Consider the following 19,018-nt stretch of genomic DNA (forward strand, 5'->3'; position numbering starts at 1 on the left):
GGAATGCTTATAAGAACCAAGCGAGGTGAAGCACTAGGTGGCCGCGGCGAGCAGGAAGAGAAGCTGATTTTGTTTGCCCTTTCGTTTGCCAGAGATTGTGGGTTCTTTTTTTTTTTTTTTTTTTTTTTTTTTTTTTGCAGAGATGAAGCTTTGATCTTGTCACAATAGCAGAGGGAGGCCTTATTTTTGTCTATTTCTCTGTGACATTGGTAGAAAGGACTTTGTCAGAATTCCAAGCTATTTGGCAATTATCCAATTTTGAGATCCTAATGGATCTTTCGAGGTCTAGTTTGTTCATTCTTTTAGTGATTCCTTGTTAATTCCCTGATTTTATAAATGTGTGTTGAACATCTGTCTTGGCCAAATACTTCTTAGGTGCTGAGGATGCAGCAATAGTGGGCAAAGCCATGGGGCTTAAGATCTAGTGTGGGAAATGGGTGATGTAAAGTAAATATGGCGATAAGTACAGTGCACGAAGCAAACAAGTGAAGGGGTAGAAGGTATCAGGCTGCAAAGACAGCAGATAGTGTAGGCAGGGAATCTTATCTGAGGGGGTGACATCTAAGCTGAGATGGAAAGGACAGTGAGAGCCAGCCAAGGAAACAAGTTGGGTGACAAGAGTTGCAGGTGGAGTTGCTTAATTTCCCACTTCTGCTCAGCCTGCAGATCCTGGATCTTGGACTAATTGCAAACTGTCATTTCCTCGTGAGTTTATTAGAACCCTCCAGAACAAGTTTCTGGTTAGCTAGTTTCTCTGTGTGTTGTCTCATTTCTTGTTGGTTCTGGTTCTTTGGGGTTCCTACTCATACTCTGGAAAGCTCCAGTGTCTTAAGTAGTCAGTCTCCCAAGAGTCTGAAAGCACAAAGATTCACAATGATACGATCACCTCTCAATCATAGCAGCATTGATGCAGTTCCGTAGCTGGTTTCCTAAAGCCATCCAGATCTCTTTCTGTGGCAAGAGAGAAATAAGACCTTCTGGTGAATTGAGGACTAATTATCCTAATAAACATGCGAATTAACAGTTCCTTTGGTTAAACAAAGCACCAGAATCTGATAATGGGAACATGTGACTCATGGTATTTCCTTCTTTGCTTTATCTACCAGGCAGCTCACAGAAACCACTGGCCTTCCCTGTGTTCCCATTTTATGTCATAAATATATATTTAATTAACTTATTATAAAAGGCCCTTTGTTCATTGACCATATCAAATTATTCTTATATAGAAGAGGTTATACATGTTTTAAACATTTTAAAATAAATCTGAAAAGAATGCTACATCCTGGGCAACTTCCCTGCATTTGGGGCTCAAAGAAGCTCTATGTGGTTATGGGTAATGAGGAGCCAGAGTGCCTTCAGGGCAGTTCAGCAGATGCTGAAAGGCTGCTGTGTGCTGTTCGCTGGGCCCACCAAATAGAGTAGGACTGAGCCCCTGTCCACCATGACAGCCGGGAGATACAAGCTGTTCCCTTTGCCTCCCTGAGCCCTGAGCTTTATAGCCTATAGACAGCTGAAAAGCAGGCTGCATCCGTTACCCAGTCAGTTACCCAGACCCAAATGCCAGGCCTTGGCTAACCCCAGTTATTACCTAATTTTAATATCCCAATGGATGTTTTAAGACCTGGCTGGTTCATTCTTTCATTTATTTACTTATTCATTGATTTTGTAAATATTTCTGGAGCATCTGCCATGGCCACATGCTGTTGTAGCAGCATCAGCCACTCTGAAGTTGGTGGATGAAAGGGGATGCATCAAAGGCGCTGATGTATGGAGGAGACGCAAGTTAGACTTGACCAAGACAATATTATTCCTCCTCTGGATGCCCCGAATATATACAGTCATTAGCTGTCGGGCCCCCATGTGGCACTGTTGACATTTTGTGGTTTAAACACTGAAGAGTAAGGGAATATTGGAAATGGCAAACATCTGATATAGTGTAAAGGAGACTAAATATTTTGATGGTGTTCATAAACACCGAGGAGGAAAGTCTTTTCATTTTTTTCATTTGTGTGCTCTCTCTTTCTCTGTTTTTGCACACTGTCCTCTGTTCTCCTTCTCCTTCTCTTTTTCCTTTTTTCTCCCTTCATCTCCCCATTTATCTGATCTCTCCCACCTGAACCCCTTCTACCCTGCTGCCCTCCTGTCCATTCTACCTTCTCTACTCCCCTCCCTAGACAGTAGTAATCACATGTCAGTTGGAGAAACATGATGGCAACTTGGTCACACCGTTCTTCTCAGTCTGTATATGTCGGTGATCTCAGTGCCCATCTGGCAGATCCTTCCTGCCCTGGCTCTTCTGCTCACTGCGACCACCCTTGACTTTGTGATCACTGATAACCTTCACCTTCTCTAATCTAAATCCCAAGCTTCTCACTCTTGGTCCACCACCTCCCAGCCTTGTCCGTTCTGAACCCTGAACGGAAGCTGAATGGAACCCTGAACGGAAGGGTTCTGAAGCTGTTCAGAACCCTGAATGGAAGCTGAAATATCAATGGGCCATTGCTTTTCACAGTCCTCTGTGAAAGATTACTGGCCAAGCCAGCATCTGGAGAATTCCTGGTCCACCACCTCCCTGTCTGGAGAAGCTGGAACAGCCAGCTGCATGAGCATGTGACCCGTGTACTCACAGGCCCTGTGCCCTGAGCTCGCTGTTTTAATTTTATCTTTGAATTTGTATTTTTGTGAATAAAGCCCTATGAGCTAATGGAGCATGCTCAGGGAACTTGGGGCTTTAGCTCAGGCTGGATTCCTCCTGCTGCCTCCCCAGTCCCTGGTCCCCTGAGAACTCCAGCCCCATCTGACCTTCCCTTCCCTGTCTCTATGCAGGGGTCATTGCTACCCTCTATCCCTGGAAAGGATGTAGGCACAGGGCAGTTCTAGGTTCCAGCTTGGGCACCGCTTAACATCTTGGTGGTGCAGGGATCAGGCTGATGATACCGTGGTTGTTCTGTGGGCTACTGGGCAGGGTCAAGCCACTCCCACCCTGATCCAGGTACCTAATGCACCCGACACAGAAGCGGCAGTGTCCTTGGGGTCATCCATTATCCATGTGTTGGAGGAGTGGGACCCTAGGGAAGATGCTTGGCTCGACTTCCCCACCCCTAGCCAGGGCACAATCAGAGGTCCAGGGGCTGGTGGGCACAATGCCAAGTCGTGAGGCCTCCAGTGTCTGCGCTCACTGTCCCATAAATAACCACAGTAATAACTAGCAAATCAAAAACATTGTGATAGGTCGAGAGAGACAGCATGTGGAAGAAAGGAAAAAGCTTTCTATTTTAGTACCTTTAACAGTGCTTTCTGTATGCTTTATGAACAAGGAGCCTGCATTTTTATTTTGCACTGGGCTCTGCTAATTTTGTAGCTGGTCCTGCCCCCTAGTAGCTCAAGTCAGCAAATCTTTGGTTCATCTGAGTCCACAGTCCGCTGACCCGCCCTTTTTCACAGTTCCTCCCCTGCCCATGTGCTCACTTCCCTCCTTACCCAGCTTGGCGCACTCCCTCAAGCAAGTCTTTGGATGCTGACATCCCCCGTAAACAACCCTTCTGCGGCCTGGTTTGATTTTCCTTAGGAGACATGCAAGTTCTATAGCACTGTTTCTTGCTGGGTATGGAGGATGTGCTATTTTGTCCATTGCATATTTTTTAAAGAAAATGAAAGGTTAGCATAACTGTTTCCAGAAGGCACATTGAATCACTCAGTTGAGTCCCAGCCAGTTGCTGCAATGTTAGCCTTTGAAGCAAACTTGAACCAACACAGGACCAGCCTAGAAGTCCCAGCCTCCAGAAATGATGCAGTGGATTCTGCAGATTCAGCAACAACAATATTTTTGTAACTCAAGAGCACTTAGTAATTTTCAAAGGAGAGAAAGAAGTAATTGACTTGGCTTATTAGGTTGAAAAAGAGTTGCCAACTTTTTCTTTGGTTTTGATGTTATTGGTTTTTTTTTATTTTTCTTTTCTCCAAGCTTCAGGGAATGAGATTGAATGAGCACTCAAGTGCTACTAGGCAGAACCCTGAATGGAAGGAAGCTGAAATACCGATGGGTCATTGCTTTTCACAGTCCTCTATGAAAGATTACTGGCCAAGCCAGCATCTGGAGAATTCTAGGAACGCCCCCTCCTCTTGCAGCAGTATAAGTTTGCGGGGATCATCTGACCCCATTGGGGAGTTGTATGAAAAAGGGGATTTATTGGGGACCCTGTTGCCTGTTTGGATCTTACTTACATTTAACTATTGTCTGCTAATGGATTTTTTGGAAAGCAACCAGGTTTTCCGTAAAGAATAGCTAATTGTCAGAGCTGAGATGACCATTGGAGATCACTGGGCTCAACTCCCTAATTTTAGAGGTGCTAAAACCGCAATCCAGAGAAGCTAATCAAGTGGTTCAAGGTTGTAGACTGAGTTCATATAGGACCAAGACCCAGCCCAGATGTCCTACTGTCTGGGACAGTGTTCTCTCAGCATACGTGGAGCCTGAGGGGGTAATGTGTGTGCGTGTGTGTGCATGTATGCATATACACATAGGTGTTTTGCCTAAGTTTTCACTTCTGCCCCACCTTGGTTGATCTTGGAGAATGAGCCTGAGGCGCGCTGTCAACCTGGGGGCCTCATTCAGCACAGGCCCAACTTTTCTGCCCTGGGGGAGTTCCAGCAGTTATGGTTCATCTGTGGTTCAGTTATGGAACTCACACCACACATAGTGCCCCCAAAACCGAGGCTGCGTGCACAGACCTCCCCTCCCTTCCCGTGGTGGGCCCCTGCTTGGGTTCTTCCTAAACTTCCCCTTTGCCCTGCTCTGTGTTATACCCTCTCTGGTCCCCTGTCCCTGTGGAGTGATCCGGGGCACAAGGGCAGCTGTTTCCCCGCTGACCTCTGTGTGCCCTGAGCATCTGGGAGGTGGGGAGCAGGCTGGTGAGAAGAACACCTGGAGTGGAGGTTGGGGTCAGGGAGGGTCCCAGTCCCGGTACCACCCCCACCTGCTGTGGGACCTGCAGTCCCCTCATCAGCAGAACGGCTATGAAGCCATCCTGCCCATCCACAGGGTGGTGGGTCGTGAAGGCTGCATACCTGGCAGAGCGGGAGAAGCTCTGGGAAGATGCCGGACACGCGCCGTGGGAGTGATTTCCCTGCCTTGCCCAGATTCTGCTCCCATCACCTGAACCTGCCTGTCACCACCATGGAACTGCTGTGACCATTGCTTTCCTTTTAAGCAGATTAGCAGACATCTCCTGCTCCACCCTGCCAAACAAACAAACAAACAAGCAAACAAACAAACAAAAATGTGCATGAGGGAGTATGGACTTGTAGAGTCTTTTCTAAACATTGTTAGGTGCTTGTATTGGGATCCTCTCTTAAAATGAACCATATTCCCCAGGCTTTGGATGACACTCATGGTTGCCCACCCTCCAACTTCCTTCCCTGCTGGCAGAGCCCTGGGTTTGTTTTAGTTCCAACCCTGACCCCACCGCATTCCTGACTCAGGCAAATTCGCAGGGTCCAATGCAGTCAGGGGAGCCACGTTCCCTCCTCCAACGAGTGCTGAGGTCGCTGCTTGATTGGATACTGCCGATGACCTACGAGGAGGAGGGTGCCAGGGCGCTTTTGGGACTTTGCTTTTCTGGAGAGATGCTTCCACAGCATGGTCATGGACACAGTCACGTCTTGATGTGATGTCTGGAATGGTGGTGGCCGTCTTGTGGCTGTGAGAACAGGCTGAGGTTGATTGGATGGAGGGAAGGAAGGAGCCTTGTTCTTGATGCTGTCTGTGAGCCTTTGAGTTATCAGCCTGGTACCACCCAGCCCTTGGACAGATATCTACTCTACATACTCCATTTGGAGTTTTTTTTTTTTTTTTTTTTTTTTTTTTTTTTTGTCACTTGCAGTTGAAAACACCCTAATTGATACACACAAACTATTTTTAGTGCTGGTCTGTGTTTGGCCCTTATGGAAGACTCTGGGCTGAGCTGCCCATGGTGAGGGAGGTGGACTTTGTGTTTTCTTACTGCTCTGTGTCCTGGTGGCTTGTTTGTGTCTCTGCCCATGAGACAAAAGCCGAGAGGGCAAGGGCAGATTTTCTTAATCATATGTTCCCTGCACCAAGCTCATAGGAGACACTCACTGAATGGTTGTTGAGAGAGTTCTCTTTCACGGAGGCAATGTTTTGTGAAACGATGCTGCTTGTTGTTGTCTGTTGGTTGTAATATGCATGAACACTAAGAGCCATCTTTAATCATGCTGTGGGCCGCCTCTTCCAAGGTGTTAGCATTACTCCCACTACCTGGTCAGCATCCTGCCTATGGCTAGGACTTTGCAATTTACATAGATATGGTGGGGAGACCTGGAGCCCATGGCCAGGACTCTGACACCCTCACTGGATCTGTTTCTACATCTACCTGGATGGCCGTCTAGGACATTAGAGGATTTGTGTCTTCCTAAAGTCCCTCTGTTGAGAGACTTCTGGCTCTGTTAAGAGGACACTATTTAGCATTGTGAGTCCCTGCAGGCTGGGGGCCAGTGGGCGTTTTTCTTCTAGATGCCCCCTCTCTTCTTCTGGCCTCCCAGGCTTCCTGCTCCTGAGATTGTGAGAACTGGCCTGTGCTGGGCTCACTGCAGAAAGACTGTCGTCCCCAAAGGTTTTGCACCAAACTTGAGCTACAAGATCTTTTAGGGGGACCTGAGATCTCCGCCTGGGCTCTATGAGAGCAGGCATGGGTTGTTTTTGCCCCGTCACTGCAGTCATGCCCACACTTGCATTTTCTTTTCCCCCCAGCAGTGTGAGGATCTGGCATGAGGAGTGGGACTCGCGTGCCCTCTTTCTTCTCCTCTTCCCTCTGGCCTTTTCATCCGTCAGTGGGGGACAGATGTTTGCCCTGTTTACTTCTAGGCTTACTGTGGGGCTCCAGGGAGATGGTGAAGTGGCCAAGGAGAGGAGCTGCCACCTTCAAGACGGCCTGTGGCCGGTGCCGCTTTAAAGGGAGACTCAGAGGTGCTTTGCTGTGGGTGGCGCGGGAACCAGCCTGGGGACAGCAGTGCAGAGGCCTTGGACTCAGAGTGCGTGGGCCCCGCGGGGCTTCACGGCGCCTGTGGCTGTGCACTTCCAGCCATATCTGTGCTGCATCTCTTCCACATTCCCCCATGGAGCTGATGTCTAGACAGCTATGGAATTAAATGCTCAATTACCGAGTAGGAATTTGGCCAGCAGAGGTATAGCTGCTGAGTAGACAGACTCGAGGTGAGGCTCACGGCTGAGAACAGGCCCCATCTGGCTTTGGAATGAGCTGAGGTGCCCGATGCTCCTGCAGCCAGTGGCTCCTGTGGGGAGCTGGGGCCGTGACCCCCAAAAGGCAGCTTGACCTCATGGACCACCATAAATCTGGCCTGGTCAACATCTCTGCCAGACATCATTCCCTTGCAAAGATTTCTGCCTGTGATTGGAATTCTGGATGAACATGTACTGGGCGTGTGGGTCTGACAGCTGGGAAGCTTGTTCTCTTGTTTAGCCAGGCTGCCCATCATCTGTAAGCCTCAGTATCCACATCTTTAAAATGGGGGGAAAATATAGCTCAACTCCTAATGGTGCCATGAGAATACTTTGTCACCTGCCAGGCAAAAGCTTATTCCTTTCACAGAAATCCAGGGTTTACAATGTGAGACCCCTCCCCACTCCGCCGCATGTGTCTGCTTGCTTTTTTCTGTCTTAGGGTTGCCCTTCATGAGCTAGGAAATGTCTGAGTGGATGAAAACCTAAACGAGATGATCACTGGTGGTGCCCATTGGTGCAGCCTTTGCCTAAATGGCTACTTACGTAGCCACATTTCCTCGTCTGTGTTCAGGTGAGGACTGGTTCCTGGGCAGACTGCCTGGGTTTGCATCACGGGTGTCCATCTTGTCGAAGCCCATGTGGTCACCCAAGTGTGACTGAGCCAGGCTTGCCCACGGGGTGCTCTGGGCCCCATTTTCGGCAGCAGGCAGCGTCCCCTGGAGGCCTGGCCCTCCCCGGGAGCATGGGGAGTAGCGCCTATGGGCAAGCAGCCTGCAGCCTCCATCCCTGCCTGGGGGCTCCCCCGCCCCAGCCTCACAGCTTCTCCAAAAGTGTTTGTCTCCTTGCCGCATCCTCTAGGCCTGAGCTCAGACGGTGGAAAAGAAGAGCTGGAAGGAGAGTTGCCTTTCAGTCTCTCTGCCTTCTGAGGTCTCCTGAGACATAGAGCCTGGGCCTGCCTCCCTTTCTAGGAGGCGCCAAGGGGTGGTAAGAATAGGGGATGAGTGAGATGTGAATTAGGATCCCCACAGCAAGCCCTGCCTCGTAACTTTCTGATGGGTTTTCAATGTGTGGTGAAGCAGACGCCTGCTGGGCCCCCTTCCTGAGTTGAGTTTGACCTCCTGCCTCCTGTCTATCTCCTTGGGCAGCCAGGCCACCCCGCTCCATTAACCTGTGCCACCCCATCCCTTTACCTGTCGCAAGCCCAGCCCTGAAGGCCTCAAAGGCCTGGTCTTCCAGCCAGTCCAGGGCCTGAAGGGATGGCAGTGTCCCTGGTGGACCTCCCCTGGTGTGGCCTAGTGCACATCCCAGCCCTGCCTCCTGCCCCGCCTGCACGCCATGAGTGCTGAAGTCATGCCTGGCAGGGGCTGCTGGCCCAGGCCCAGAGTAAACACACTGCGCTGAGCTCGCTGGTGTGCTGCTGGATGCTGATGAGCTTGAGGAGTGTGGGAAGTGAGCATGGGGCTGAGTAGAGATGCGGCAGGCCTGCACCTCCCCGCAGCTGCCCTGCATGCTCCAGCCTCAGGCAGCCACACAGGGAAAGGGTCACCCACTGTCAGGGCAGACCTTTACCATGGCTGGGTGACACGGGCTGGCTGTGGAAAGGTGTTTGGTGGTTCCCGCTGTTGGATTTGCACAGGCCCAGATGCTCACAGCAAAACCAACACCTAGATGGTGCTTACAGGAGCCAGCGGGTATTCAAAGAGCTGTTCAGATCTTAAGTTGCTTCATTCTCACAGTGGACCATTGAGGTAGCTGTACGTTAGTCCCATTTTCCAGATGAGAAAACTGAGGACCTGAGTGGTCATAAGCTCAGGCCCTCATCTAAATCACGCAGCCTGGCCCCAGGTGTGTGCTCTTGACCATGGACAGTGCTCTCCTGGTCCTCTTGGTATCTGTGATCTGAGGGACCTTCCTCCTCCTCAGTCTCGTATAGTCAGTTTTAGGTCTTGGACTCTGTCTTCATATCCCTTTCTCCCTTCGTGAGCTTTCTCACCCAGCACCTTCCTTATTTGGTGTGTGTTGGGGGATATTTGTGGTGTGGCGTGGCACTGTGTAGTGGATGAGAGAGTCTGTTTTTCCGATCCCAGTCCCAGGTTTCAAACCCTGCTCTGTCTCGAGTCACCCAGAATCTTGGACCCTCAGTTTCCTCATCTGTTAAATGGGCATGGTGGTCACCCCACCTCATCAGCTAGTGTCTGCTCCATCCCTGGTGGAGGAGATGACTCAAGTAACCCCTGGGTTCCACCTGCCCCACCCCACTGGTCCCCTGGCTCTTTCTTTGTTGAGATAGACGAATGTGAGGCTCTGGAGTTGCAGTTCCCACGAGGGCTGGGGTGGCTGTCTGATTTCTGGGCCTGGTCCATGTTGTTCAGGGCAGCTGCTCGTTCTAAGTGAATAAAGGCTGAAGGAACTCGGGAGGTCTGCTCGGCTCCGAGGAAGGCAGAGAGGGAAAGGGCCCCGATGCCTTCCCTGATAGAGCTAGGGAGGCCCTTCTGTGGTTCCCCCCAGCTCCTTGGCCTGGGTGACCCTGGAGCTGGCTTCTGTTCCATTTTGTTGTGCAGAGTTGTTTGAGACTCCTGGCTTTGCCTGGCCTTTGTGGGACGCTGGAGATCAGGGCTTCTGGAGTTGGCCAATTAGCCTGCCCAGACCAGGAAGCACAGGTGGCTGACAGAGGGCCGTTTCAGGAGAGGAGAGACAGCCTACCTATTCGGTCTTGCTGTCCCCATGCTCCATCCCTGCCCCTGACCAGTGTGGCCCTGTACTCAGCATAGGCGTGCACCTGAGTCAGTACAGTTCCCTGCCCGCAGAGCACCCCAAATATTCCAGGCCTCAGGACGGATGTGCACATGATGAGTCGGGGCAGGTTTCACTGCCTGTAGCTTGGGATCCTTCCCTGGGGCTTGGTTCTCTAGGGCCATCCCCAGCAGTCTCACCCCAAACCCTAAATTCATGTTGTCTTCCTCTGTCTCTTGGCCTCAAGGTTTCAGAGTGAGTCTGTGCTGATAGCTTCAAGATGTGATGAGACCCCGACTTGGCCTCCAGTTACCTCCCCACGGTTTCCTTGGTGTGTGTGTGGCTTCAGTGTTCACTGGCTCCCGCACGGCTTGCAATGTGTGGATTACGGGTGGGAGGGAAATCCAGTCCTGCCCGCAGCAAAGGGATGTTAGTTGTGAGCTCAGTTCCCCACCGGGCCTGGTGTTTCCAAATAGCCCGTCACTGTCCCTGCTTGGTTTTCCATGATATCTGTGCCTTTACCTATTTGGTTAAATTAAACCAACTCAGCAACGCCAGCCATTGTGGTTTCAGGGCAAGCTGCCTGTCCTGCTGCTTGGCCGCTCCTCAGAGCTGCGGCCGGGAGAGTTCGTGGTCGCCATCGGAAGCCCGTTTTCCCTTCAAAACACAGTCACCACCGGGATCGTGAGCACCACCCAGCGAGGCGGCAAAGAGCTGGGGCTCCGCAACTCAGACATGGACTACATCCAGACCGACGCCATCATCAACGTGAGCCTCTGTCCCTCTGCGGGTGGGGATTGGGGCAGAGTTTTGCCAGGGGGAGAGGAGTCAGCATAGGTCTTAGCCCCTGACTTTGTTGTAGTCTGCGTGAAGGGATGGAACTAGACCAAGCCATGTGGATTCTAGTGCCAGCAGCATGGCAGGGGTCACATGGCGGGGACGGTGACACCGGAGCAGGTGGACAGCCAGCCTCCTCCCAGGAGGAAGAAGTTGTATTGGGTGCTTTAGGGTGATTGCAGTTGGCTTCTGGGCTTCAGAGAGAAAATCTCCCTGTTTACGGCACCTCTAAAACTTTCTGAAAATTGTTAAGGTCATTTTTTTCCGGCAAAATATTAGGTTAATGGGAATGAATCTCAGAGAAGAATCGTGCCCCCCACTCTAGGCACCGTGCTCAGGAAACGACCAGGCAGGGACATAGATTGAACCATGTTATGACACGATTTGTAACCTTTTCATTTCTGTTTAATTGCAGTATGGAAACTCGGGAGGCCCGTTAGTAAACCTGGTAAGGTCTTTTAAACCTATGTTAGGTCATTTGTTTTTATCTATGTATACGCTGTTTTTTGTTTGTTTGTTTGTTGTTTGTTTGTTTTTGAGGCAGGGGGTCTTTTCAAACATAAGGTTGCCAAAGTGTATTATAAATTCCTTTAAAATGGCTCTGTAAATGTACTGCGTGCTTGCAAATGACCCTACGGATCTTTTCTGGAAAGAGTAAGGCAGGCCGGAGGTGAGGGTTGGAAATGTTATGCCAGAGAACACACTTGTGTCTCAGAGTTACAGGTAAACACCGTGAAATTCAGGGCCAATGCAGGAGTAAGGTGAAGGTCACTAAAAATGCTGGCCAGTCACCGAAAGCACCTCCTCCAAATTAAATCTCCTGGGCTGCTGAAGGAGCTGGCTGGGCTCATACACATTTTCTCTTGGCCAGGAATCCTCCCTTAAGGCCTGGCTGGAATGAGGAGGAGTTACCCACCCACAAAGATATCACTTAAGTCTTCCCTTAAATACTTGAGCAGAAAAAGTGAAGCCTTAGAACACAGACCAGCAGAGCTAGAGGGCAGCTCTGGGGCCATTTATAGAGGGCAGCTCTGGGGCCATTTATAGAGGGCAGCTCTGGGGCCATTTATAGGGGCTGTCTTTAGCAAGGCCCAGTGTGATGGCACCTCCTAGATGGTGCCTTGGCATCAGGTACTGACATCTCAGCACTCCTGGGAAGTGTGCACTTGGCAGCTTTCTCTTCCCAGCAGAGGGGCAGCTGTGCTCCCAGCTCTGTCCTCTGCCTCCCCGCGCAGCACTTGGGGATGGAGTGGAGATGGCTTTGCTGGTAATGAAGCATGACAGCCCTAAGCTCTAGGGTTGTTTCCCCCTGAAGTCAGCAGAGTCATCTTAAGATCATTAGACATGGGAGAAGCAGGAAGGTGTGGGCAGCCACCTAAAGGAGTTTGAGCCTTTGGAAACGTATTCCTTGTGAAACAGGAGCAAATCATATCGTGCATTTTGAAACTATCTGTGCTTACCGTGAGGTGAGCACCCAGTGCCGACCTGGAGTATGTGCGATTCTTCCACAGCTGCGCGTGGCTCGCGCTGCCTGGGTGTCCTGATGCCTCTCTCCCTGCTGCCACGGGGATCCCCTCCTTGCATCTCCCCACTTCGATCTCTGAAATAGCTCAGGGACTTCTTTCAGGCATATTCTCTCTGGGTGTGTACCTGCCGGTAAAGCTTCACGATTCAGTAAGCCGTGTCCTTCTTGCTTTTCAGGACGGTGAAGTGATTGGAATTAACACTTTGAAAGTGACAGCTGGAATCTCCTTTGCAATCCCATCTGATAAGATTAAAAAGTTCCTCACGGAGTCCCATGACCGACAGGCCAAAGGTAGGCAAGGCCCACACAGCCCTGGGGACTCCGGAGATGGGGCCTGAAGCTCAGCTGCCCTTTGGGACTTGGGGAAGGGAAAAGCGGCAGCCCCTAGGACTAGCCAAGCCGTCTCTGATCCAGAAGTGAACGGGAATGCACATTACTAAATCCCTCGCAGAAGGTCACAGACATTTCACCATTTTTGTCCTCTGATCATGGCAATGTCACTTGAGTCAGTCTAATATGTACCAGGCATGATCCTAGGTGACTTGTGTACATTATTTCACTTTCTTTATGTATGTCACTTAATTCTTTTGCCCTATCAGTTAGGAATTACTAGTCCCATTTTGCTGATGAGAAAACGGTTCAGGGAGATCATTCTGCAAACGTTTATTGCCCCATCTGCTCTAAGTCAAGCAGGGAGCTTGGCAGTGGACAGCTCAACTGGGGCCTGGGGCTCAACAGGGGCCTTTGCCGGTGTGACTTTTATGTTCTGTTGGGGGATGGGAAGGCTGACAGTAAATAATCAAACACATAAGATACTATTAGTGCTCCCAAGAAAACGGATCAGGGTGGCCGTCAAGGGAGCGACTGGAGGGGCAGCTGGTGGAGATGGTGTGGCCAGGAAATGCCTTCCAAGCTGAGGTCTGAGTGAGGAGGAACCAGCGGGCAGGGATGTGGGGGGAACACTCCAGAAGGAAAGACAGAGGACTCAGCATAGTTGAGTGAGCACAAGGCCCCTGAAGTGGCCTGAGGGCCGGAGCACAGTGACAGCATGGAGTTCCCCGGGGTGGAAAGAGGCCAAGGCCGGGCGAGCAGGCTCACAGCAGGCCGTGGTGAGGGACCTGGGTTGCATCCTAACGACATTTAAGAACAGGGAAGTTTATGATCTGATTGATGTCACTGAAAGGACACTCTGATGGCTGCGGGGAGTCTGCTGGAGGGGTTGCTGGAAGTTGGGGACCGGTTAAGGGGCTCTCCCAGCCATCTGGATGAGACATGCTGGGGTCTCAGACAAGGGTGGTGGCAGTGGAGGTGGGACAGAGGGGTCACATTCCAGATATATATGGGGGGTAGAGCAAGCTTGGGGAAGGGCCAGCTGTCAGGATGAGGCCATGAGGAATTAAGGGTCATGCCCAGGTACCTGACCATTAATTGAAACAATGGGACTTTCCCAAGGTCCCCCAGAGGGGAGGGGTCCAGACCAGGATTTGAGCCGCAACCTCAGTGTACCCTTCTGTGGCCCTTCCTGCAACCTGGGGGATTGGGCCCCCGGCCCCTGGTGTCCCCAGCACCCCCACCAACTGGGCTGACCTTCTGCTGTCCCTTTGTTGTCTCACCAGGAAAAGCCATCACCAAGAAGAAGTATATTGGTATCCGAATGATGTCACTCACGTCCAGGTGGGTAAACAGGATGCGTGTCTGTGTCTTAAATTTTAATAAACCTGAACTTCAGAAGGTGCTCACGGGCACCCCTGAAAGAGAAACCTTATGCTGCCTTAAGACGTCTCAGTTTCTGCTTATAATGAAGTAGCATCGGGAAAGAGGACAGGTCATTAGCCTTGGCCCCTTTGTTTGGTTTTAACCTGTGTTTTTGCATTCTGAGCTGGTTTTCTTCACTGGCAGCAGGCCCTCCGGTGTAGAAGGTTCTGCCCTCCTCTTTGAAGGCAGGCCTGAACAGTGTGTGCGTGGTGGGGCTGTTGATTCACTCTGGCTCACGTCTTCCTTACCCCACATTCTGTTGAAACCCACATTCCAGGAGGGCCCCAAGCCCCTCCCGCAGCTCTAGGCACTCTGCTTTCGTTGCTCTGCAGCTCGTGGGCCGCGGCTCCAGGAATGCCAGGGCAGGTCCAGCGCAGGGAAGTGAATGACTGATGTGCTTGTTTTCCCCGAGCTGGTGGAATTGCGGCCTGTGGTTGGCAGGCTCATGGCATCCTGGTGTTCTAAACTGGATGAAAAATTCTGGTGTAATCTCATGAGTCCTGGTAGTAGACTCACCTGGCATGGCTAAAACTGTCAGAGGTAAAGTAGGTAAAGACTAGAATATAGTAACAGATAGATTAATGTGTTCATTACTATGATGAATTAATGATTCACTCACTGTGAAAGTATTAATATATTTTGATACATGTTATGAATGGTGGTCCCTTTCTTAGCACTCCAGAAGATGGAGCCATTTGTCAAGGTTAAAGTGTCCCCTCAGTTGTTTGCCTTTGGAACTACGAGGTGTAGGGAAAGATGGTAAGCCCTTGGTGCCCAGCTTCCTGGGTTCCTGTCCCTGCTCTGATATGTCCTGCCTTGTGACCTTGGGAACGATATGACCCCTGAGTGCCTCAGTTTCCTCCTCTTCAGGATAGGGATGACAGCGCAGGTGCTTCTGATGTGTGGCCAGGCTCAGATCAGGGAGTGGTGGCAGGGGTCACCAGCCACAGTGATGCCAGCCACTATGTATCACACGTACTGGGCCAGGTGCCTTACTGGGATGATCTCATCTGATCCTCACAACTCATGTTGTAGGGTACTGTTATTATCCCCATTTTGCAGGTGAGGAAATGAAGGCACAGAGAAGTTAAGCAACTGTCCGAGGTCACACAGCTAGCAAATGGCCGAGCTAGGGCTGCAAACCAGGCCAACCACTGTACTTTACTGACTCCTTAGTAATAGCTACTATTAATTAAGAAATAATAACAATGATGATGGCTGGGTGCGGTGGCTCACATCTGTAATCCCAGCACTTTGGGAGGCCAAGGCGGGCAGATCACTTGAGGCCAGGAGTTCGAGACCAGCCTGGCCAATTTGTGAAACCCTGTTTCTACTAAAAATATAAAAAATTAGCCGGGCTTGGTGGCAGGCACCTGTAATCCCAGCTACTCGGGTGGCTGAGGCAGGAGAATTGCTTGAACCCGGGATATGTAGGTTGCAGTGAACTGAGATCGTACCACTGCACTCCAGCCTGGGCGACAGAGCAAGACTCTGTCTCAAAAAAAAAAAAATAAATAAAAAAAATAAATAAATAATAAAGCACTTTCCTTGCTGTTACCAAGTAAATCTTTGACTCTGGTAGACAGGCAATTTTAATTTTAAAATAGGATCAGAATTCCTGGAGGAATTTTACCTTAGACCTAAGGAGAAGACGGGAACTGGTGAGAGCTGAGTTTTGCGTGAGGAAGGCCTGGTGTTTCTTCACACTAACACGGGTGCTTTTTCTCTGGAGCAGCAAAGCCAAAGAGCTGAAGGACCGGCACCGGGACTTCCCAGACGTGATCTCAGGAGCGTATATAATTGAAGTAATTCCTGATACCCCAGCAGAAGCGTGAGTTGGAGTCGTTTTCTCTTTTCCCAATATTCTTGTTGTTCCTGTGGGGGTAGCAGGAAGAGGGAGCGCTGTTCCTTTTCTACTGGCTCAGATGATTATGTTGATCCTTGACAGACGTGGTCGGACGTTGCTTGTCATTCCTGCTGGCCAGGCCTTCCGACCTGGCTCGGCTCGGGACTCATCCATAGGAGGGTGCCTTCTGTCTTCAAAAGTCCTTGCTCCACGAGGACCCTCCAGATGGACAGAGCAATAGCAGACTCGTAATGAGTCTCTGAGATGGCCCGGCTGGCCAGAGAGAGGGTTTCAGGAACAGTGTCCCCAAGCCCTCACTTGGTGGTCCTTTTCTAGGCTTCAGGACCCTTCTCTTCCTGGAGTCTTCCAGAATGTCTCTGACAATTAGGCCCATACCTGTCAACACCTCCAGAAAAATAACCCAAGTGATATCAAAGTAACATGACAAGAAGTAGCTCAACCATCCATCAGGGTTTGTTACCTGTATTGGCGGAATATCCAGAGAAAAGTGCGAGACCAGGGACCAGCAAATGTGCCTTGGGGGCTGGATCTGGCCCACTGCCTGCTTTTATATGGAGCTGTGGGCTAAGAATAGTTTTTGCATTTTATTTTTATTTTTACTTATTTTTTATTTTCATAGGTTTTTGGGGGAACAGGTGGTATTTGGTTACATGAGTAAGTTCTTTGGTGGTGATTTGTGAGGTTTTGGTGCACCCATCACCCAAGCAGTGTACACTGAACCCAATTTGTAGTCTTTTATCCCTCATCCCTGTCCCAGCCTTTCCCCTTGAGTCCCCAGAGTCCATTGTATCATTCTTATGCCTTTGTGTCCTCGTAGCTTAGTTCCCACTTATGAGAACATTTAAATGGTTGAAAAAATCCTGAAATAAGAATAGTATTTTGTGACATGTTAAATTTGTATGAAATTCAAATTTCAGTGTCCACTGTAATTTGGTTTATGACATCTATGGTGGCTTTTGTGCTGGAACAGCAGAGTTGAGTAGCTTCAACAGAGACCATATGTACTGCAAAGCCTAAAATATTTCCTATGGAGCCCTTTACAGAAAAAGTTTGCAGACCCTTGTGCTAGCCCATGAAGGACCATGACAGCGTTTTGACGCTGAGCTATATAAGAGCTACAGTTATAGTGGCAACCACACAAAGGAAGTGCCTCTTAACAGAAACATTCCGCCCACCCCTATAGGAACTGCATTCTGAGTTGCAATACCCATTATAAGCAAGTTGGCCAGATAGTGGCCAACTATCTGGCAGATATCTGGCCAACTACGTGGCAGATAGTACCTGGTACATCCTTCCCCACTTTGGGGTCAATCTTGACCTTTGATCTCCTTGGGGTCATAAAGCCACACAAGTGTTAGTAGGCATTTCTACAGTGGACACAATGGATGATTTAGCCTAAAAATCTCAAAAGGAGCCCAGCATCCTGGCACATGCATGTAATCCCAGCTACTCAGGAGGCTGAAGCAGAAGGATCCCTTGAGCCCAGGAGTTCGAGACTAGCTTGGGCAACAATTGAGACCCCATCTCAAAAAAAAAAAAAAAAAAAAAAAAAGAGTGGGGAAAAAAGAACATTATTAAAAAAAAAAACCTTAAAAAGTAATCCAATCTACCGATGGTTTATTTTTTATTTTATTTTATTTTTTTTGAGATGGAATCCCACTCTGTCACCCAGGCTGGAGTGCAGTGGCACAATCTTGGCTCACTGCAACCTCCACCTCCTGGGTTCAAGTGAATCTCTTGCCTCAGCCTCTGAGTAGCTGGGATTACAGGTGCCCACCACCAAACCTGGCTCTTTTTTTTTTTTTTTTTGTAATTTTAGTAGAGACGGGGCTTCACCATGTTGGCCAGGCTGGTCTTGAACTCCTGACCTCAGGTGATCCACCTGCCTCAGCCTCCCAAAGTGCTGGGATTACAGGCATGAGCCACCGTGCCTGACCCACTGATGGTTTGAATTATTCTAAGTTCGCCACCGTCCAATCCTGTTTGCTCTGGGCTTTTAGGTTCTAAGCTGTGCCTCTGTCCATGTAAAGTCAGACCAGGAGGAATGGAAACACGAAACATTGCCATTGTGTTTCCCTTTGTGTTGCAGTGGTGGTCTCAAGGAAAACGACGTCATAATCAGCATCAATGGACAGTCCGTGGTCTCCGCCAATGATGTCAGCGACGTCATTAAAAGGGAAAGCACCCTGAACATGGTGGTCCGCAGGGGTAATGAAGATATCATGATCACAGTGATTCCCGAAGAAATTGACCCATAGGCAGAGGCATGAGCTGGACTTCATGTTTCCCTCAAAGACTCTCCCGTGGATGACGGATGAGGACTCTGGGCTGCTGGAATAGGACACTCAAGACTTTTGACTGCCATTTTGTTTGTTCAGTGGAGACTCCCTGGCCAACAGAATCCTTCTTGATAGTTTGCAGGCAAAACAAATGTAATGTTGCAGATCCGCAGGCAGAAGCTCTGCCCTTCTGTATCCTATGTATGCAGTGTGCTTTTTCTTGCCAGCTTGGGCCATTCTTGCTTAGACAGTCAGCATTTGTCTCCTCCTTTAACTGAGTCATCATCTTAGTCCAACTAATGCAGTCGATACAATGCGTAGATAGAAGAAGCCCCACGGGAGCCAGGATGGGACTGGTCGTGTTTGTGCTTTTCTCCAAGTCAGCACCCAAAGGTCAATGCACAGAGACCCCGGGTGGGTGAGCGCTGGCTTCTCAAACGGCCGAAGTTGCCTCTTTTAGGAATCTCTTTGGAATTGGGAGCACGATGACTCTGAGTTTGAGCTATTAAAGTACTTCTTACACATTGCTTTCTGTAGTGCTTATTTTCCTTTCCCAAGAGCAGCTTGTTGCAGTCTTTTTGGAATGATTCTAATGTCAGTGGGCCCCTCATTAGACTGCATTGTCCACGCAGGTTTGAGCTCTTAGTCTTATGAGTTATTTCAAAATCATCCCATGGGATTTACCAGGGTTATGAACAACTCTGCTTGGACACCCTGGCTTTATGAAGCAGGACTTGAGGACAGTTGCACTCGCATCCGGA

The 19,018-nt window shown here is 49.8% G+C and overlaps 1 protein-coding gene across 1 annotated transcript in view, besides 1 other annotated feature; it reads left to right on the forward strand.

The window, feature by feature from the left end:
* The window catches only part of HTRA1 (HtrA serine peptidase 1), a 53,355-nt gene extending 34,571 nt beyond the window's left edge, over positions 1 to 18,784 (forward strand). The window contains exons 4-9 of the mRNA NM_002775.5: positions 10,568 to 10,762; positions 11,247 to 11,279; positions 12,533 to 12,647; positions 13,973 to 14,030; positions 15,847 to 15,942; positions 18,068 to 18,784. Coding sequence (NP_002766.1) covers positions 10,568 to 10,762; positions 11,247 to 11,279; positions 12,533 to 12,647; positions 13,973 to 14,030; positions 15,847 to 15,942; positions 18,068 to 18,236 — 666 coding nt within the window. The 3' untranslated portion in view covers positions 18,237 to 18,784. The remainder of the gene's footprint in view (positions 1 to 10,567; positions 10,763 to 11,246; positions 11,280 to 12,532; positions 12,648 to 13,972; positions 14,031 to 15,846; positions 15,943 to 18,067) is intronic.
* Positions 8,560 to 9,059: an enhancer, noted in NCBI's record as "H3K4me1 hESC enhancer chr10:124264199-124264698 (GRCh37/hg19 assembly coordinates)". NCBI's record gives its function as "activates a minimal SCP1, AML or CMV promoter by ChIP-STARR-seq in naive H9 embryonic stem cells {active_cell/tissue: H9 hESC(naive)}" and the evidence as "EXISTENCE:reporter gene assay evidence [ECO:0000049][PMID:30033119]".

The sequence above is a fragment of the Homo sapiens genome, chromosome 10 (assembly GCF_000001405.40).
Source record: "Homo sapiens chromosome 10, GRCh38.p14 Primary Assembly".
NCBI classification, from domain to species: domain Eukaryota; kingdom Metazoa; phylum Chordata; class Mammalia; order Primates; family Hominidae; genus Homo; species Homo sapiens.